General features: G+C 36.9%; 1 protein-coding gene across 12 annotated transcripts in view; it reads left to right on the top strand.

Moving 5' to 3' along the window:
- SLC9B2 (solute carrier family 9 member B2) overlaps nucleotides 1-22898 on the top strand; it is a 59291-nt gene that overhangs the window by 22036 nt on the left and 14357 nt on the right. For 11 of the 12 annotated variants that reach the window (NM_001370201.1, NM_001370205.1, NM_001370204.1 and 8 more), the window contains 5 exons: nucleotides 4902-5044; nucleotides 6264-6391; nucleotides 8058-8233; nucleotides 10288-10394; nucleotides 11839-11988. In NM_001370201.1, the coding sequence (NP_001357130.1) occupies nucleotides 4902-5044; nucleotides 6264-6391; nucleotides 8058-8233; nucleotides 10288-10394; nucleotides 11839-11988 (704 nt within the window). The remainder of the gene's footprint in view (nucleotides 1-4901; nucleotides 5045-6263; nucleotides 6392-8057; nucleotides 8234-10287; nucleotides 10395-11838; nucleotides 11989-22898) is intronic. The other variant, NM_001370200.1, reaches the window with a different exon arrangement.

Here is a 22898-nt window from a genome sequence, read left to right as displayed (position 1 = left end):
TAGGTATATCTCCTAATGCTATCCCTCCTCCCTCCCCCCACCCCACAACAGGCCCCGGTGTGTGATATTCCCCTTCCTGTGTCCATGTGTTCTCACTGTTCAATTCCCACCTATGAGTGAGAACATGCAGTGTTTGGTTTTTTTGTCCTTGCAATAGTTTGCTGAGAACGATGGTTTCCAGCTTCATCCATGTCCCTGTAAAGGACACGAACTCATCATTTTTTATGGCTGCATAGTATTCCATGGTGTATATGTGCCACATTTCCTTAATCCAGTCTATCATTGTTGGACATTTGGCTTGGTTCCAAGTCTTTGCTATTGTGAATAGTGCCACAATAAACATACATGTACATGTGTCTTTATAGCAGCATGATTTATAATCCTTTGGGTATATACCCAGTAATGGGATGGCTGGGTCAAATGGTATTTCTAGTTCTAGATCCCTGAGGAATCACCACACTGACTTCCACAATGGTTGAACTAGTTTGCAGTCCCACCAACAGTGTAAAAGTGTTCCTATTTCTCCACATCCTCTCCAGCACTTGTTGTTTCCTGACTTTTTAATGATCGCCTAAAATGAATTGTTTTTAAATATGCCTATATGCTAGGATAAAGGGTGGGCAGACTAATTCTCTTTATAAATTAATATTAATTGGAACCCACCCACGTTTATTCATTTACATATTGTCTATGTCCTTCACATTATACTGGCAGAGTTGTGAAGTTGTAACAGAGACTTTATAGCCCACAAAGCCTAAGATATTCATTGGCCCTTTACAGAACATTTTTGCTGACCCTTGCATCAAAATTAGTGACTCTCAAAATTCATTGTAAAGAGGATGACCTTGGAATTTGTTAAAATACAAATTCTAATTAAGTAGGTCTTCATGGCCTGAGATTCTGCATTTCTAAGCTCTAAGATCGCATTTTATGTAGCAAGATCATTCATTCTAGAACTTGGCTGCACATAAGAATCTCTCATTGGTTGTTTTGTTTTGTTTTGTTTTTGAGACAGGGTCTCATTTGCCCAGGGTGGAGCGCAGTTGCACAATCATTGCACAATCATGGCTCACTGCATCCTCAATCTCCTGGGCTCAAACAATCTTCCTGCCTCAGCCTTCCCAGTAGCTGGGACTACAGGCACATGTCCCTACACCTTTTTTATTTTTGCAGAGACAGGGTCTCACTTTATGGCTCAGGCAGGTCTTGAACTCCTGGGCTCAAGCAATCCTCGTATCTTGGCTTCCCAAAATGCTGGGATTACAGGTGTGAGCCACCATGCCAGGCCAGGAATCACCTGTCTTTAAAAAGCTGCTGGTTTGGGAGGCCGAGGCGGGCAGATCACGAGGTCAGGAGATCAAGACTATCCTGCCCAACATGATGAAACCCCGTCTCTACTAAAAATACAAAAAATTAGCCAGGCATGGTTGGCCCACACCTGTAGCCCCAGCTACTCAAGAGGCTGAGGCAGGAGAATCACTTGAACCCAGCAGGCAGAGGTTGCAGTGAGCCGAAACCGCACCACTGCACTCCAGCCTGGTGACAGAGCGAGACTCGGTCTCAAAAAAAGAAAAAAAAAAAGCTGATGCCTAGGTCTTACCCCAGAGATTCTGAATTAATTGAAATGGAATATGGCCTGGACATCAGAAGTTTTAAAAAGCTCTCCAGATGATTCTAATATGCAACCTATGTTGAAGACTGTTGTTCTAGACACATGAAAATGCCCATTACACCCCATTTGTCTTTTTTTCACTCCATGCCTATTGCAAAAACAAAATATACCATGTTGCAAAAAGATGTAAAGTCTTGGGATTTGTGATAAAATGAAATCTCCTAAGGTAACTGAAATCATTCTCAAAAATTATATATGTATTTTACCATTCTTTTTTATAGTTGTATACTTGCATAGAGGAAGAAAGTTTACTGGTTCTTATTACATTAAGGCCAGTATCCAAAACTGAAGCATTATCTGAATCCATAAAGGAAACTTATTAAGACAAAATGTATGTGATGGTTGCCTGTTCTATATTTTTAAGAGTTTAATTGAAGTGATTGCCAGGGTCGGAGTATGAGTGAGCATTTTTGATTCCTGAAATGAATTTGAAAACGGCTTCCCTTTGGAAGAGAAGAAAAATCATTATTGAAAAAATTTCCATAACACAAATAATAAAAAAAAAACTTGGGAGTGGATGAAATGAGATTAGCCATGTGTTGATAATTTTCATAATACAAAATTTTAAGAGAACAACACTCCTCTATCCAGGAAGATGTTCTTTCCTCCATGACCAGGGGAGGCCCTAGAGGCAAGAGTGGGGACATGTGCCAAATCAAAATCAGGTGGTCACATTACATCAACCAGACCACTAGCAAAGGAAACAGTGTCCCAGGGAAGCTGCTGTCACGTTCATTTCAGGAATGAAAAATGCTCTCTCAGGCCAAGAGAGAGCAGTGGCTCATACCTGTAATCCCACCACCTTGGGAGTCTAAGGTGGGTGAATCGCTTGAGCCCAGGAGTTTGAGACCAACCTGGGCAACATATCAAGACCCTGTCTCAAAAAAAAAAAAAAATGTCCCCTCATATCCCCCAAAACAAAAAAACCTCTTAACATAGTTTTGAGTTCTTCTTAGGATATTCCATTTGATTTCAGGTCATTGAATGCCATTGTTAATTTAGGAGTGGCTTAGAAACACATTTTAAATTTCATTAAAGAGCTATTGTAATGATAATGGAATGTAAGCATTAGTGCAGTATTTTTGGCTGTTAAGCTATCAATATATATAAAAATGACATATACCTATACCATAGGGCCTAACATTTCCACTGCTTGAAATTATAATATGAATATAGTTAATGTAAACCTACAAATATATAAGCTCCATATGGACAAGGACCACATTAGTCTAGCTCATGGGTGCCCAAGCCCCGGGCCGTGGCAGGAGGTGAGCGAGCATTACTGCCTGAGCTCTGCCTCTTGTCAGATCAGCAGTGACATTAGATTCTCATAGGAGCATGAGTTCTATTGTGAACTGCACATTCAAGGAATCTAGGTTGTGTGCTCCTTATGAGAATCTAATTAATGCCTGATGATCTGAGGTGGAAAGCTTCATCCTGAAACCATTCCCCCTGCCATCAGTGGAAAAATCGTCTTCCACGACACCGGTCCCTGGTGCCAAAAAGGCTGTGGACTGCTGGTCTAGCTCACCTCTTTGTTACTAGGATCTCATACAGGGCTAGCATGTAGCAGGCACTTAAATACTTGATGTATGAATTGTGCTCATTTCAGCACTGTTTATAATGAAAAACCTGAAAAGTTTCTTAAAATCTATTATTAGTGGTCCAAAAATTATGGAACTTCCAAACAGTGAGATACTATTCCAGTTATTAAAAGAGAATAAAGCAAATATATATGTGCTTCAGTGGGAAAATGTCCAGGATATATTATTAAATGGGAAAAAAACCCAAGCCGTACAGCAGTGTATAAGTGTCCTATTTGTGTCCAGCACAAAAGAGCTTATACACACAGAAATATACTTGAATAGGTACAGAAACTTTCTGGAAGGGCACAGAAGACCCTTAACAGTGAAATACATTCAGGAATGAAGATGGAAGGTTGCAGTTGGGGTACAGTATGTACTTGTCACTTTACATTTTGTCAGCAATGTCTTAATTTTACCATGTGCATATATAACTCATCATTATTTCTTCCAAAAACCAAGCCTGTTCATATTGTTGCCCAATAAACATTCCAGAAAGACCACTGCCACAGCATTCAGAACTTACGAGACTTTCCCGTAGATAAATGGCAGTGATGAGAGATACCTGGAGTGATGCTTTCATGTGCAGCAGGTTGTCTCTCTTCTCCCATCTTGCATCACAAAATAACCTAACTTCAGTAAATTTATTTAGTTGTTTGAAGTGTGGTGCTTATAGGGACAAGGTGAGAAGAGGGCACTGCTGGAGAAGCATGGAGGGAAGAGGCTCAGTCTCTCACAGAAACCTTTCCCTTTGTGTGGGCATGTGGTATCAATGAAGGCAGAATTCCCTCACTAACTACTCAGCTTCCTCAGTTACACTCAACTACTTGCAGTTTTCAGAATGAGTCACTTTTTCTTTTACCTTTGAATAAACTACTGTCTTTTCCAGAAACTTCTCAACTCCCCTAGCCGTTTCTTCATCCTCTTCCCCCTTCTCTAAATCCCCCTTCCTGCCTCAGCTCATGTAACATCCCCCTCATGCCTTCATAAAATTGGTATTGTCCGTTTGTCTTGTTCCCTAGAGGCTGAAAGCTTGTTGAAATGTAATCCATTATTATATGTGTGATACATACTCTAGTGTCTAAACTACTGAAGGCATTCAGTACAGTTGAATGACTGAGTGAAAGAAGAGTCACCAGCTGACATGACAGGGCAATGTCCATTTCATCATAATTGACATCTAAAACCTTTGCAAAGTAGATTATCTGTCTCTTATGAAATTATCTAATCTGAAGGTAAAATAGAATCCATATAAGTATTTATTGATATTTCAAGTAATCTGACATAGCAAATAATTTCATGCGCTGTTTGCTGTTTGCACGCAAAGGGCTGACTGAGCTGGCATTGTATTAAAACATTTTATATTTAGAATTTGATCATACTCTCTATCCAAATGCTGCATCTTGTCTCCCTTTTAAGTTCAGTTATTTTGGGAATATTAATTATTATAATCTATCTTTTTATCTGTACATTATTTTCTTAGCTGCTTTATTATACTAATTTTTACTTAAAAGTTTAACTTAATTTCTTCTAAGCATAAGTGAAGTGGTTCCTGGGATTATATAGTAGTCTGTATAAAATTAAAGTACTAAAAATATTTTCTGTATTTGAAAACTAACTAGATATGTTTGATTTCTTCGTTCAAGGCATGCTGCTTGCAGGGTTTCTCATCAGAAATATCCCAGTCATCAACGATAATGTGCAGATCAAGCACAAGTGGTCTTCCTCTTTGAGAAGCATAGCCCTGTCTATCATTCTGGTTCGTGCTGGCCTTGGTCTGGATTCAAAGGTATGAAATGTAAATTTCTCATTATTAAATAGGAATCTTGTTTCTTCAATGCTTCAGGTATCTAACAGAATCACTAAGCATTAGGAAATGGATGTGGACACTTTGCATGACATTCTTGAGAATAAAATAGAATTTATTTCATGGAGGATTGTTTTGCAAGTGAGACCTTGTTGTGGTTTGCAATAACTCAAAAGGTGGTCTCATTTTCTTCCTTTTTTTTTTTTTTTGAGACAGAGTCTCGCTCTGTCACCCAGGCTGGAGTACAGCGGCTTGATCTCAGCTCACTGCAACCTCTGTCTCCCGGGTTCAAGTGATTCTCCTGCCTCAGGCCTCCCAAGTAGGTGGGATTACAGACATGCACTACCACACCCGGCTAATTTTTGTATTTTTAGTAGAGACGGGGTTTTGCCATGTTGGCCAGGCTGGTCTCAAACTCCTGACCTCAGGTGATCTGCCTGCTTCCCCCTCCCAAAGTGCTAGGATTACAGGCATGAGCCACTGCGCCCAGCCGGTCTCATTCTCTTCCTTGGAGAAAGGTAGAGTCTGTCTATGGGGCCAGCACCAAGAATAAAGGCCCCACTTTTCTCTGATGTACATATAGACCAGGGTTATAAATAATGCTCACAGGGGAGAAAACAACATATTTTTGGTTTGCAAAGCCCTATACAAGTGTTCAGGGCTAACTATACTAGCTCAGGAAACTGCCTAATATATAAAATGAGGGTCAAGTATGCCTTTTTAATGCTTTTTTTTCATGTATGTTTTTGAATACAGGAATGAATTTTCTTGGGGGATCAGGCTCTTCACTTTAGTCTCATTCTGGGACCACAAATTATAAATAAAACTAATGAGAATGTTAAATTAGCTAGAGATTATGAACACAGATGCTGAAAGCAGCCTGCCTGGGTTCAAACCTGGCCCCATCACTCACCAGTTTCATGATCTTGGGCAAATGCCTTTAGCCTGTGCCTTTTCAGATGAGGACATCTAAAAATATGGGGATAATAATAGTATTACCTATCTTATAAGGTTGCAGTGAGGACTTAATAAGCTGTCTGAAAACACTTGGAGTGCTAAAATGTTTGTTAAATACAACTCATTACCTTGAAAACTCATGATGACCCAGACGTGGTCCATATACTGAAGAGAAAGCATTCAAGGTCATCTTCTCTGCACATCTTCAGAGGATTATATTAGGATGTCTACTTTTCTATTTCAGGCCCTGAAGAAGTTAAAGGGCGTTTGTGTAAGACTGTCCATGGGTCCCTGTATTGTGGAGGCGTGCACATCTGCTCTTCTTGCCCATTACCTGCTGGGTTTACCATGGCAATGGGGATTTATACTGGGGTAATGATTGTTTCTTTGTCATATGAAAATATGTAGGGACATTTAGGGCTTTCCCTGATTGCATACAAGAGAATGCATAATAGAATTTTCTTATAGATATCAGAAAATGCAACATAGATGTTACAGCATAATTTAAATATTCTAACTTCAAAACATAGTTTATGTGTTAATAGGCGCTAACTCTTACAGTTAGCACCTACTATTCAAACTGTTGAAGAAGTCGTGGTCTTTTGCCTACACCTGATTCAATGCCTGTTAAAGAGATACCGGATTCCACCTAACGTCTGCACAAAGGATAATAAACACAGCAACAGTGATCAACAGCTACTATTGTTTTCCTCCTGTCACCAGACTATTATGACTTGGCAGTTCTGCTGTCTCTTCGTTCCACTGTCAGTTCTTTACTTCCAACAGTTAAGAGCCACACAAAGTAAATAAATAAGACAGGACTTAGTAAGAATTTAGTGCTAATAAGAGGCAAGAAGTAAGAAATTCTTCTCATGGTTAAGTCTCTGGAACTCTACTCCCTGGATTCAAATCCCAGCCTTGTGATTTTTCCGGTGTGTGATCTTTAACAAGTATTTAATCTCTCTGTGCCTCAGTTTCCTCAATTATAAAATTAAGATAGATTTTGTCTATTTTATAGGGTTGTTGTGAGGATTAAATTAGTGAATACGTGTAAAGTGCTCAAAATGGTGTCTGGTACATAGTAAATACTGTAAAATGCTTTCTGCTGTTACCACTGCTGTTGTTACTGGTATCAATGTGACTGTCATATCGTTTTCTTCTAATCTGTTGCCTTATTTGACATAGCAAGCCCTAATAGAAGGCCTAGCATCACTGGGTTCCAAATCAGAAAGTCCATGCATTTTCAAACCTTATAACATGAATTTTTTTGTTTAAAAAAGCCAGCATCCTGGGGCCTACCCTCATTAGGCCTTCTATACCACTAATAAATATATCTTTTTAGGCAACCTAAGTAGTCTGAAGCAAGTTGTCTATGGCTACATTTTGAAAAACAGTGTTCTGTAGAAGTTTTACACATACATGTTTTTCTGGATTCATGCTTCTCTGCCATTTGAAAGACTGTAGTTGTCAATGATAGACTGGATTAAGAAAATGTGGCACATATACACCATGGAATACTACGCAGCCATAAAAAAGGATGAGTTCATGTCCTCTGTAGGGACATGGATGAAGCTGGAAACCATCATTCTCAGCAAACTATCGCAAGGACAAAAAACCAAACACCACATGTTCTCACTCATAGGTGGGAAATGAACAATGAGAACACATGGACACAGGAAGGGGAACATCACACACCAGGGCCTGTTGTGGGGTGGGGGGAGGGGGGGAGGGATAGCATTAGGAGATATACCTGATGTTAAATGACGAGTTAATGGGTGCAGCAGAACAACATGGCACATGTATACATATGTAACAAACCTGCACGTTGTACACATGTACCCTAAAACTTAAAGTATAATAAAAAAAAGAAAAAAAAACAAAAAACAATTCTTATTAAAGTTTGTTTTCTTAATTTAGAAAAAAAAAAAGAAAGACTGTTGTTGTCCAAGTATAACCCCTAAAAAGTGGAGGGCATTATAATTTCAAAATAGTAATAAGTAAGATGTTATCATAAATGTTTAAAATGCTGTCTGCCTAGTTTTGTTTTAGGTGCTGTATCTCCAGCTGTTGTGGTGCCTTCAATGCTCCTTTTGCAGGGAGGAGGCTATGGTGTTGAGAAGGGTGTCCCAACCTTGCTCATGGCAGCTGGCAGCTTCGATGACATTCTGGCCATCACTGGCTTCAACACATGCTTGGGCATAGCCTTTTCCACAGGTAACCTAATCAGTTCACAACAGGCTTTACTCTTGCATTCTAGGGACGTAGGTTAAAATGTTATAAGCATGACATATTTGCTTGATAATTGATTAAGGCAAATTAAAAATAGGCAAAAGAACACTAAGAGTTCTGTACCTAAGGAGGGTCCAGAAGCTGTCTGTCTTTACTCTCTTGCTCCCTCTAGAGACTGCTCAAGTAGCATGCAGTAGGTGCAGTACGGCAGGGGCGGTAGAAGGTAGAAAGATTTAAAGAACAGTTTCTGCTTGAAGTGATCCAGGAACGTTCAGGCTTCACACAAAAGATGTGTGGAGACTTCACACAAAAGATGTGTGGAGACTTCACACAAAAGATGTGTGGAGACTTCACACAAAAGATGTGTGGAGACTTCACACAAAATATGAGTGGGTTTTTCAAGGAGCACAAATGACAGAGAGCAGTCCAAGTGAAAGGAACAGCATGCCTTTAAAATAAGAAAAATTTCTCTTCTCTCCTCTTCAGCTTTTTATGGGTAATAACAGCAATGATTTTAATGGATGTCCCATTAATACTTAGTAAGTGTCTGAAATTGAGGTATTTTGTTTCAAGTATAGTAAAAGAGGAACTTAAGTTATTTTTTCTCCCACTGTTGTTCAACACCTATATTAAACTGATGTGAACAGATAGTACGCTTGATCTTAGCCAAAAGGCCAAAAGCAGTTCAACACTTTTATTATCCTGTGGTACAGCACAAGTTTAAGTTCATTTCTTAATCTTATGTTCAAAATTGGGATATAAAATTTGCAACATTATATGATTGACAAAGTATAATTGTAATCTAAGTTTAGCTTTAGATTCTGTAGTGGGAACACATCTTCTTGGCAGGTTATACATTCTCGTTATCTCCCTATAGTTATCTCCCCATTCTGTGATTGTGTATGATTTATGCCTGTTACCTAGAATCCCACCCTGTCTCATTGCTCCAGAGCCTGCCTTCCATCCATTCCCTAGTAAATTGATTTTCTTAAAACATTGTTTTCATTACATTACTTTCTTGTTCAAGAACCTTTGAGGATGCTCTCTTACCTATTAAGTCAAATTCATACTCCTATTTTTAATGCTACTACACATACCCAAATTTATGTTCTTACCACTTTCCTGGTATATACCTTTAAAACAATTGTTCTCAGCCTTACCATCACACTAGAATTACCTGGGCGATTTTTAAAAATACTCTTATGTAGGTCCTATCTTAGACAATTAAATCAGAACCTTTTGGAGTGGAAACCAGTGCAGCTTGGAATAGGAACCACAGCTTTAGAGCAACAGAGTTTGCATTAGAATCATGGTGGTGGGAGGAGAAAGGAAAGAGGCAGTGGGGTTTTCATAAGCTACAGCTCGAAGAACCTTCCTAGTTGACTCTGCTGTGTTTCCTCTCCCCGCCCCACCCCCCCACCAACTACGTGTGGTCCTTAGACCTTTTGGATCTGAGCCCTGCTAGACTTACTGAATCAGATTTTTAGGGGTGGGGCCCAAGACTTTTTTTTTTTAATCACCTCAATATACCAGAGACTAAAGCTAATTAGCTACTTTCTACACATTCATAGTAAATTATTACCACAATAGCTTAAGCATAATGCTACTATCACAACTAGATGTTTTTAACAGTCATAGCATTACCTGGTAGAAAGCGATCCTAGCTAAATAAAATTACTTCAGAGGTAATTTTATTTAGATAAGAAGAATGATTGCCATAATAACAAGAGACCACAGAAACCAGTTAGTACATTTTTCTTAGGACAGTCTGTGAAGAAGTGCTTTATGTGTGGAGAAACTTTAATATAATTTTCTGCACAATGTGCTAACAAAAAATTTTTTTTAATTAAAGTTTCCTAAATCCTATATGCTATGGGGGAAAATGTAGGTTCCACTTACATATTTAAGAATATGGAAAGCAGAAACTGTCTTTAAAATGTTTCTTCTTTGTAATTAGATGCTTCATGTTGATGATTGTGGAATAAAACCTGTGTATTTGTTGGATTTAGAGCTCTAAGTTTTTTTAATATATTTTTCAGGCTCTACTGTCTTTAATGTCCTCAGAGGAGTTTTGGAGGTGGTAATTGGTGTGGCAACTGGATCTGTTCTTGGATTTTTCATTCAGTACTTTCCAAGCCGTGACCAGGTGAAAGAAATAATATGTGGGAAAGTTGTGCTCTGAAATATCATTGGGAAAACATTCTAGAACACTTCCTTCAAAGACAGATGTGAAGGACATGTTTGAGCAAATGGTTCCTCATTTTAAAATTGCTTACTGCTATCCATGAGATTTATGAAGTGGGCTCAATATAGAAGATTTTAATGCAGTCCTGTAATGGGTTCCCGTATTATATTCTGTACATTTCAAATTCCACTGTAAAACAAATAATATCGTTCCAAAGTAATAGGATATGCAAGTTTTTTAAGTGTTCATAATACTCAACTAAACCCAGATATATAATAGCTTTTTTGTGCCCTTTTTTAGTATCAAAATACCTTAGATTCTAGCCAGGCCTGGTAGTCCCAGCCACTCAGGAGGCTGAGGCAAAAGGATCCCTCTGGGAGTTTGAGTCCAGTCTGGGCAACACAGCAAGAGCCCATATCTAATACATACATGCATACACACATACATAAATCAGTCAATCATCATCTAGTGCCACTTTGTTCAGTACAGTAGCCACTAGCTACACGTGGCTATAGCAGATACAGAACATTTCCATCATCACTAAACATTCTATTGGAAAACACTGCTCTAGTACAACCGACAAAATAGTTCATAAAGAGATTTCTATTACTATGACCATTTTACTGATAAGGAAATTGAGGCTTAGGCAGGATAAGTGACTTGAACAAGGTCACATAGCTAGAAAGCGGTGGAACTGGGAATGAACTCAGGTAATTCACCTTCAGAGCTTGCATGCCTTTGCCAAGTCAAGCACTTTTAAAGACCTACTTTCTAAAGTGATCAAGAAGTTTAAAAGCCTGGACAGGGAAAAGTAAAGGGAAAAAAAGTACACAATTCTTAGACTTTAAAACAACAGCAACAAAAACTACTGTCAGTCTAGAACCTCTTAAAGCTTCCTGGTTTCCAAAGATTTAGAAAGAAAAACCAAGGGGGCGTCAAATTTAAAACAGTAAACATAGAGCCTGAAAATAATAGAGATATATATTTAACCTTCACACAAACCCTATGATGTAAATGCTTTCAGGAAACAAAGCTTGGAGTGGTTAAGTAATGTGGCTACTACATACACCAACAATGTATAAAAACTATAAATTTAACCTTGGTCTGTCCAGCTCCAAAGCTCATGTACTTTTTTTCTGCTACTTCATTAAGTGCTGTGAAATTCTGCATTGATAACTGTAGAGGAGAGAATTGGTGTTCCTGAAAGAAGAGCTCACCATTGCAGTGTGCTAACTCTGCTTTTGTTTAAGAAGAGAAAGTAAATGTTATGTAGTGCACTTGTTTTGTCTATTTATATAGACATTTTAATTTTTATTTTCTTTCTAAATCCTAGATATGGAAAAAATCAATCATTAAAAATCAGGGATTTGAAATAATTGAGCAAATGAATTTTTTTCTCCTAAAGGACAAACTTGTGTGTAAGAGAACATTCCTTGTGTTGGGGTTGTCTGTGCTAGCTGTGTTCAGCAGTGTGCATTTTGGTTTCCCTGGATCAGGAGGACTGTGCACGTTGGTCATGGCTTTCCTTGCAGGCATGGGATGGACCAGCGAAAAGGTGAATTTCATTTTAAGTTTTTCTGCTCATGACTCTTTTCTAATGAGATTAAGTTGGCTTTCCAGATACTTTCTTAGCATCAAATTAATAAAGTATTTCATTATAAAAGCTATCTTAATGTGCATATACAAATGTACACCCAGTGTTCATCTTTTTTTTCCCCTTACACATCAATCTATAACTTGATGTCTTTACTTAAAATATATCATGGTCATACTACCGTAATGCCTTCCTTATTCTTTGTAATGGCTACGGAGTATTGCATTTTATAGATATTTACGTTGTTTCTAGTTTTCTGCCAAGATAAACAGTGCTTCAATAATATATCCTTACATACCATATTTCATCTGAGTCTGTCAATTCTAAAAAACACAATTATTTTATATGACACCAAGAAAGAAAAAAAATAGTGCCAATTAAACGATAACATAACATTCTAATTTCAGAAATGTTAAAATATAAAAATATGTGTCTTAAAATAAATAAAATATAGTATATATTTTAGTTTATACAATAAATTTCTAGAAATCAGATTGCTCTAGGAAAGAGTACTCACATTTATACTTTTGATAATATCAATATGACCTTTTAAAAGACTGTACCAATTTATATTTTTACCAATATTATGTGAGAGGATCTGTTTTTCTGATCTAAGTCTTTGAGATATTTTGCTGATATTATGAATTAAAAATATATCTCATTATTATTCTGATTTTCATTTCTTTATGGGCAATGCTAATCATGTTTTCATATGATTACTACCCAGTTTGTTCAAAAGCCTTTGCCATTTTTATAAGGTTGCTTTGGTTTTTCATACTGATTTTCAAGATTATTAAGAATATTCATTTGGTTTATATGTATTATGGAAGTTCACTAGTTGTCATTTATTTATTTTAATTTTCAGATTCATTTTTGTAGATTTGAACTTGATAGGATTGTATGCTATTCTGCTTAATGAAGATGTCGGTGACCTAAAATAAATGCAGCTATATCATTTTGTGATAATCTTACAAAGCCTGAAGACAACTGTTCAAAATAATTAAACTTAAATAATTAAAATAATGCCATATGGAAAATATGGAAACGTTACAAATTTTGAGATGAGATATATAATCATAACTCAATTAAGTGGATCTCTGTGGGGATCTTCCATAGACAGCATTCACTGTGGGTAAATAACATTCATTCTCATATCAACAGTGTAACAGAAATGCATTCTGTCACCAGCTCTTTAAAAATCTTTGCAAATTGAAATCAACTCATTATATTATACTGTCATGGGTAAAAAGAGAAAAAGGAATTAATAAATTTTTGTTGCTACGCTGTATGGCTCTGTATGAGGCACTAAGTGGATATGGTCATTTATTTTCACAAAATTACCTTTGAAAAGTATTATGATTTCTACCTTATAGAAGCTGTAAGTCAGAAAGACTTAAATAACATGTCCAAGGTCACACAATTAGAAAATGGCACGGAGATTTAAGCTCAGATTAATTTGACTCCAAGGTGAGTTGTACTATGCTGTAGTACAACTGTAGCATTATTGTGCATGACACAATTTTATATTTTGACATCTGTTTGAGTAACACTTACCATGTGTATTTAAACATAATTCTAAACTTTTGCAGTTTAAAATTCAGCTTCTAAATTCATAAATGATAGGATAAAAAGAATAAACAATGAGAAGGAGCAATATCATTTGAAACAGAGCATAAAAAAGTAGTTTTAGCAACAGAGAAATGAAGGAGAGACTGATACCTCCTGCAAGTGGGCACTGGATAAGAGCACAGAAAGAAAAAGGAGGGAAAGGGAAACTGATCACTTCCGATTACACTGTTATTCAGAGAAACTATAATGTGGTTATCTATAAATGATTCTTATAAACCAAACCATTGTTCCCTTTGTTTACATTTCCTGTAGTCCTGCTATGTAGAAGGTCAGTGTAACCCCACAACCAGAAAGATAACTATTAACATTTTTAAAAATATTTACCTCTAGTAACTCTGCTATGTGAATCTCTTTATCTACACACATGGATGCACCATAGTTGGGTTTTTGGTTTTTTTACCCATTCCTTTATATATAGTTATAAGGTTATTTCCAGTCTCTGCTATTTTAAATTATGCTGAAATGATCAGAAATTGATCACTTCCTTAAGGAATATTCCTAACAGTAAAATTTGGGGGTGAAATAATATGAACATTTTGAGGTTTTCGACACATATTACCAGACTGCTTTCTAGAGTTCTATCCATTTACTTTTCTACCAGTAAAATATGAAGTACCTGTCTCATTACAACTTCACCTTAGAATAGTTTTCTCAAACTTTAGCAGAATTACCTAGAAGGATTGTTAAATTTGAGTTCTGGGCCCTACTACAAATTTCTGATTTTAGACTGTGGTGGGGCTTGAGAATTTGCACGTAATTAATTTCCAGATGAGGCTGATGCTGCCAGTCTAGGGACCACACTGTGAACCACTGGCTTAAAATATTATTGCTTTTAATCTTTAGCCATACTGATAGGTAAAAAGTTGCATCTTGTTTATTTTGTGTTTCTTTAACAGTGAAATTGAACAGTTTTTCACATATTTAGACACTTGTGTGTTTTTTCTTTTTCTTTGGTAGGTCTTTTGTTCATTATCTTCCAAAGTATAATGTGTGTTGATTATCCATCTGTAAGATACACCCCCAATACACACATCTATATAAGTGATGACACAGTCTTGATTACCCTGGGCTTATCTTTTATACACAGCCTATTCAATGACTCCATTTTGTTTATAGGCAAATTCATTTTAGTTTTGGCATTATGAAAAACCCACAAGAAGATACGTTGTAACTTTTCTGTTTTTCTGTGTTTTGCAATATATAAGCCCATGTCTGATGTTCAACTAGTCTGAAGCATTATAATCAAAATACAAATTGTGGCCTTTGTCTACACTTTAGAAATAAAAAATAATTTGATATAGAAATCTTTTTAGTCCTTCTACTTTCATTACTATTCTGAGTGTATGAAATACATTTGAGGACTTCTGTTAAACAATTAGTCCCAGCAACAGAAGTCTAAGTAATCTTTGTACCTTTTTATATTGTTCACTTTTAACACTTAGATATTTTATATTTTCATGTAGTCAGATCTGTCAGTCTCCTATAATAGTTTTAATTTTTTTGAAGAGCTCTTTGTTAGTGAGATATATGTTATTTATTCTTAACAATAATCTTGAAAGGTAAACATTAGAGCAACTTTTAAAATCAGGAAACCAAGGCCTACAAATACTAAGTATATTGCGAAGGTCAAAAATAAGGACAAAAAGTAAGTGACAGAGCCAGGATAAGAATATACCATTTGAGGCTGGGTGCGGTGGCTCACACCTGTAATCCCAGCACTTTGGGAGAACGAAGTGGGCGGATCATGAGGTCAGGAATTCGAGACCAGCCTGGCCAGCATGGTGAAACCCCATCTCTACTAAAAATACAAAAAATTAGCCGGGCATGGTGGTATGCGCCTATAGTCCCAGCTACTCGGGAGGCTGAGGCAGAGAATTGCTTGAACCTGGCAGGCGGAGGTTGCAGTGAGCCCAGATCACACCATTGCACTCCACCCTGGGCGACAGACCGAGACTCCATCTCAAAAAAAAAAAAAAAAGAATATACCATTTGAATATATAAAAATGGTTCCCCAAAAAAAGGAAGGAAAAGTAATGTTTATTGACTCTGTCGTGTGGCAGGTACTCTCCATATCTTTTCTAATTTAGTACTCAGGAAAGTTCTTATTCCTGTAGGAACCAAACCAAAGTCCTGAGTTTGGATTCCTTTTCTTACCTTATTCTAAAGGATAGCCTAGGGCCAAGAGCTCAGACTCCTCAGGCCAGTCTCAACACTACAGCTTTTACTAGGTGTGTCTGACCATGTGCAAGTTATCTAACTTCCCAGTGATGATGACAACTTCACTGACTGGAGGATTCGGTAAAATAACCTGTACGAAGCACTAAGGAAAGTTATTAATCATAGAACACATTCAGTAAATAATAACTCTTATTATTTTTATAATTACCTCCAGAACAGCATGATATCATACTAAGAGCATAAGATTTAAAATATGGAGATTGGGATGCCAATCCCAGTTCTACTACTTTCTAGCTGTATAATCCCAAGCAAGTCATTTGCCTTCTGAAATACTCAGTTTTCTCAACTCTAAAGTGAATACAATAATCATCTAAAAAATTGCTGTAACTATTATGTGAGAAAATGAAAATGACACACTTGTAAATTCTACAGGGCTGTAGCAATATTGTTGTTAACTTATTAGACTTTGAAAAGCTAAAATATTTTATAAGATTCTGTTTGTGTCCATAGTTTTCTGATATTATTTTATACTTTGTGCTTGGTCTTATAAGCATTAATCTTTCCATTTGTTTGTTGTATTCAGATGCACTCACCTTTTTTAAAGCTGCTTCTCTTTTTTTGTCTGTTGTCAAATCTAGTGCTGCTTCTAATGACTTTTACAGATTTTTTTGTTGATACGGTATTTTGGATTTTCTGAATCTTAAAATGTTCTTTCAAAAAAGTATAAACTTAAGTAGATATCCAACTCATGATGAAACTTCCATTTATCTTAACTTTCTCCTTTGTTGGTCCTCCAAAGTAATTGATATTTTTTCAGATTCTTACTAATGATGCATACAAATGTGTCAAATGGCCTTAATTTTCAAGGGACAACACAGTCTTCATTACCCTGGGCTTATCTTTTATACACAGCCTATTCAATGACTCCATTTTCTTTATAGGCAAATTCATTTTAGTTTTGACATTATGAAAAACCCACAAGAAGATACATTGTGACTTTTCTATGTTTTTCTATGTTTTGCAATATATAAGCCCATGTCTGATGTTCAACTAGTCTAAAGTGTTATAATCAAAAACAAATTTTGGCCTTTGTCTACAGTTTAGAAATAAAAAATAATTTGATTAGAAATATTTTTAGTCCTACTTTCATTTGTATTCTGAGTATATGAAACACATTTGAGGACTTCTCTTAAACAATTATTCATGGCAACAAAAGTCTAAGTAATCTAAAATTAATAGAGTTGATTCTTGTTCTTTACTACAATGAGTATCAACTAAAGTCTTACGTTGGCTGGGTGCAGTGGCTCACACCTGTAATCCCAGCACTTTGGAGGCTGAGGCAGGCAGATTGCCTGAGCTCTGGAGTTTGAGACCAGCCTAGGCAACATGACAAAACCTCATCTCTACTAAAAATACAAAACTTCCCCGGGTGTGGTGGTGCACACCTGTAGTCCCAGCCTACTCAGGAAACTGAGGCAGGAGACTCACTTGAACCCAGGAGATGAAGGTTGCCATGAGCCAAGATCACACCACTGCACTCTAGCCTGGGTGACATAGCAAGACTCTGCCTCAAAAAAAAAAAAAAAGTCTTACCTTTAGCTATAATATACTCAAAAAACTAAATTAAAAAGTAAAATTTAAAGATATGTGGAAGGATGTTAACTGGATCGTAGTTTTGGCAGAACTAGCCATTACATAATAAATGATCTTAGATGTTATCTAATATAAACCTTTTGTTCTACACATGAGAAAGTGAGGTGCTGAGAGGCAAGTGCCTTGCAGTTAGTGGTGGAGGGTTCAAACTTAACTCGTTATCTGATGAAAACATAATATTTTTCATGCTATAGAAACAGAACTATTAAATAAATCAACCAATGCCCTCACATATGCTCTCTTTCAACACTTGTAAGCTGAATGGAAATATAATCTTCCCACTATAAACACATCAGAAATAATGCAAATAAAGAATACAAAGAAACATTGTAATCCTTCTTTGTCAAACTGCTGAATATATTAATAGTAAGTCCTCATTTTAGCATTGTCAATAGGTTCTCAGAAGCTGCAACTTTAAGTGAAAAGACAAATAACAAAACCAATTTTACCATAGGCCAATTGGTATAAACAAGAGCTAAGTTCCTAACGCATATTTCTGGTCACAAAAACATCACCAAACTTCTGAATAAAAACCAAAACACTGTGAAGATTAAACATTGAAATAATTGTAATCTACACATACATTTCAGAAAGGTTAATAAAAACAAGTAAGATAATAAGCCCGAGCCTATCCCAGGCACCAACCCTACACAGGATGCCATCCCATCACAGGGTGCATTCACACACACCCACAGTCATTCAGATAGGGACCATGTAGACACATCAGTTCACCTAATGAGAACATCTTTGGGATTTGGGAGGAAACCAGATTACCCACATAAAATGCTTGCAGATATGGGGAGAACATGAAGAATTGATTTTTTTTTCATTGTTGGAAGGAAACAACATTGAAAGAAACGACATTATTTGAGGACCTGGTGTATATATTGCAGATCCTTAAATTGTGTAATTGTAAGCATTGAAATGTCATCCAAAAATATAGCTTCTTTTCAGTTATGAGAAAATCTGTTCTATGTAAATTCTTAGACAGTATAATAGGTACTGCTCAATTGCCCTCCAAAAAAGCATTATCAATTTGTTGTCCTGCCAAATGGTGAGTTTCCTTACAAAGTCATGAATACTTTTCATTATTAAAACCTTTTAGTATTTTTCCAATGTGGTGTTCCCCCTTGAAAAAAAAAAAAGGCATGTCAATTTAATTTGTGTTTCATAATTACTCCGTTTTAGTGTCTTAGATTTTGTGACTATTTGTATCTCTTCTTCTGTGAATTAGTTGTGCATATGTTTTGCCCATGTTTCTTTTTTTTTTCTTTTCAGCTTTTATTTTAGGTTCAAGGGGTACATGTGCAGGTTTGTTACATGGATAAATGATGTGTTGCAAGGGCTTGGAGTACAGACAATTTTGTCACCCAGGTAATCAGCATACTATTTTCAATCCTCCCCCTCCTGCCACCCTCCACTTTAAAATAGGCCGCAGTGTTTATCATGCCCTTCTTTGTGTCCCTGTGGACTCACTGTTTAGCTCCCACTTGTAAGTGATAACTGTGGTATTTGGTTTTCTGTTCCTGCATTAATTAGCTTAGGATTATGGCCTCCAGCTCCATCGATGTCACTGCAAAGGACATGATTTCATTATTTTTTATGACTGCATGGTATTCCATGGTATATATGTACATGGTATATATGAGTCCTTGCCACATTGCTTGTTCTTGTTGGCTTTGTGACATATCAGATGATTGTAGGGGTGCAGCTTTATTTCTGTGTTCTCTAGCCTGTTGTTTTGGTTCATGTGTCTGTCTTAGTACCAGTACCATTGCTGTTTTAGTTACTGTAGCCTTGTAGTATAGTTTGAATTCAAGTAGTGAGATGCCTCCAGCTTTTTTCATTTTTCATATCTGCATAGTATTCTATGGTGTATATGTACCACATTTTCTTTATCTAGTCTACCGTTGATGGGCATGTAGGTTGATTCCGTGTCTTTGCTATTGTGAATAACACTTTAATGAACGTACACGTTCATGTGTCTTAATGGTAGGGTGATTTCTATTCCTTTGGGTATATAACCAGTAATGGAATGGCTGTGTCAAATGGTAGTTCTATTTATTTGAGAAATCTCCAGACTGCTTTCCACAGTGGCTGAACTAACTTACATTCCCACCAGCAGTGTATCAGCATTCCCTTTTCTCCACAACCTCACCATCATCTGTTATTTTTTGACTTAATAATAGCCATTCTGTTGGTGGAAGTGTAAATTAATTCAACCATTGTGGAAGACAGTGTGGTGATTACTCAAACACCTAAAGACAGAAATGCATTTGACTCAGCAATCCTATTACTGGGTATATACCCAAAGGAATATAAATCATTCTGTTATAAAGACACATTCATGAGTATGTTCATTGCAACACTATTCACAATAGTAAAGACATGAAATCAACATAAATGCCCATTAATGATACATTGAATAAAGAAAATGTGGTGTATATATACCCCATCGAATACTATGCAGCCATAAAAAAGAAGATCATGTCCTTTTCAGGGACATAGATGGAGTGGGTGGCCATTATCCTTAGCAAACTAACACAGAAACAGAAAACCAAATACCACGTTTTCACTTATAAGTGGGAGCTAAATGATGAGAACACATGGACACATAGAGGAGAACAACACACACTGGGGCCTATTGTAGGGTGGAGGGTGGGAGGAGGGAGAGGACCAGGAAAAATATAACTAATGGGTACTGGGCTTAATACCAGAGTGATGAAATAATCTGTACAACAAACTGCCATAACACAAGTTTACCTATGTAACAAACCTGCACATGTGCCCCTGAATTTAAAATAAATTTTTTCAAAAAATTAAAAAGTATCAAAAGATGTACAATTATGTTTCATTTGACATTTGGTCACGCAGTTTACTTCCACAAGCTCAAATATTCAAAAAATTAAAAAGTATCAAAAGATGTACAATTATGTTTCCTTTGACATTTGGTCACCCAGTTTACTTCCACAAGCTCAAATATTGTGGTTAATTTTAAATATTAAAAAAAATAATAATAGCCATCCTGACTGATGTGAGATGGTGTCTCATTTTGGTTTTGATTTGCATTTCCCCATTGATTAGTGATGTTGAACATTTTTATATGCTTGTTGGCTACATGTATGTGTCCTTTTGAGAAGTGTCCGTTCATGTGCTTTGCCCATTTTTTAATGGAGTTGTTTGTTTCTTGCTTGTTGATTTGTTTGAGTTTCTTAAAGATTCTGGACATTAGACCTTTGTCAGATGCATGGTTTGCAGATATTTTCTCCTGTTCTAAAGGTTGTCTGTTTACTCCATTGATAGTATCTTCTGCTGTGCAGAGCTCTTTAGTTTAAGAAGGTCCCATTTGTCAATTTTTTGTTTTGTCACAATTGCTTTTGGAGTCTTCATCTTGAAGTCTTTGCCTGGGCCAATGTCCAGATTGGTATTTCCTAGATCTTCTAGGGGCTTTGTAGTTTTCGGTTTTACATTTAAGTCTTTCATTCATCTTAAATTTATTTTTGTATACGTTGTAAGGAAGGGGTCCAGCGTCAATCTTCTGCATATGGTTAGCCAGTTATCCCAGCACAGTTTATTGAATAGGGGGTCCTTTACCAGTTGCTTGTTTTTGTCAGCTTTATCGAAGATCACATGGTTGTAGGTGTGCAGTTTTGTTTCTGGATTATCTAACCTGTTCTATTTGTCTATGTGTCTGTTTTTGTACTAGTACCATCTGTTTTAGTTACTGTAGCCTTGTGGTATAGTTTGAAGTCGGGTAGTGTGATATCCCTGGATTTGCTCCTTTTGCTTAGGATTGCTTTTGGCTATTCGGGCTCTTTTTTGGCTCCAAATGAATTTTATAATGTTTTTTCTAATTCTGTGAAAAATGTCATTGGTAGTTTGATAGGAATATCATTGAATCTATAAATAGCCTTGGACAATATGGCCATTTTAACAATATTGATTCTTCCTATCCATGAGCATGGTATGTTTTTCCATTTGGGTCATCTCTGATTTCTTTCAGCAGTGTTTTGTAATTCTCATTGTAGAGATTTTTTACCTCCCTGGTTAGCTGTATTCCTAGATATTTTGTTCTTCTTTTGGCGATTGTGAATGAGATCACGTTCTTGATTTGGCTCTCAGCTTGTACGTTATTTGTGTATAGAAATAATGATTTTTGTGCATTGATTTTTTATCCTAAAACTTTGCTGAAGTTGTTTATAAGATCTAGAAGCCTCTGAGCAGAGACTATGAAGTTTTCTAGGTATAGTATCTCTGTACTATTCTTGGTATAGTATTTCCAGGTATAGTATAATCTGCGAAGAGAAATAGTTTGACTTCCTCTCTTCCTAATTGGATGCCTTTTCTTTCTTTCTCTTGCCTGATTGCTCTTGCTAGGACTTCCAGTACTCCGGTTAAATAGGAGTGGTGAAAGTGGGCATCCTTGTCTTATTCTGGTTCTCAAAAGGAATGCTTCCAGCTTTTGCCTATTCAGTATGATGATGCTGTCTCTGGGTTCATTGCCCATTTTTCTGTTAGGATCTATGTCTTTTTTTTATTGATTGGCCAATGTTTCTTATTCTGTTACACATGGTACAGATATTTTCTTCTAGTTTGTCACTTTTTTGGTTTATGGCTTCTTTTGCCACAAAACATTTTGATGTTACTCTAGTCAATTGTGTCACTGTTTTCCTAGAGTCTTTTGCATTATGTGTTACAAAGTTAGTTCTTGTATCAATTAGGGTCCTATGAGGAAAGAGAAATCAAATAGTAACTGGAATAGGAAAAGTTGATTATTAACCACACCAGGGATTCCAGTAACAAGGTATTGGCTAGTAAGATGTGAAGACATCCTTAAAGAATATGAGAATAGCACCTATGGCTATAATAGATCATCCCCTTAAGCCTGTACCCTCCACATTCCTGCCTGCAGGGCTGAGATCCAGACTCTGTTAGAGCCTAGAGAAGTCGCTGTGGTGCTGTGCTTGCAGAATTTGCTGAAAATCTACCCTCCCAATTTGCAGGAGATCCATCCCCTTGGGTGCATGGGGAAGTATCTTGCTCAAGAGAATCTGCTACGAAACTGCCCCAGGGGTATGCTAGGGAATGTAATGGCCACTAGGTGCTGCTGGTTGCATGAATTGTAGGACCCTGATACTGGAGAAGCCACCTGGGATGCAGGAACCTAGAGCTAAGGCCACCAGTGCATGCTATAAGATCTTGCTAGGAAGAGCCACAGAAACCAGGAAGAAAAGCACCTTCAGCTTGCAATATCTCTTTAGCACACTCTACTGACAAAGTTTAACATGGTGCTACCTGGCAAAGGAAAAATATTTTAAAGGCCCAGCTCCATTTTCTGTGGAGCAACAGTGAAAGAGGAGCTGGAGATAATGGGCAATAAAGTGATAATTGGCACTGATAATCACTTTAGT

This window comes from Homo sapiens, chromosome 4, assembly GCF_000001405.40.
Source record: "Homo sapiens chromosome 4, GRCh38.p14 Primary Assembly".
Lineage (NCBI taxonomy): Eukaryota > Metazoa > Chordata > Mammalia > Primates > Hominidae > Homo > Homo sapiens.
Note: the sequence above shows the minus strand (reverse complement) of the source record. Positions and strands in the feature narration are given on the sequence as shown.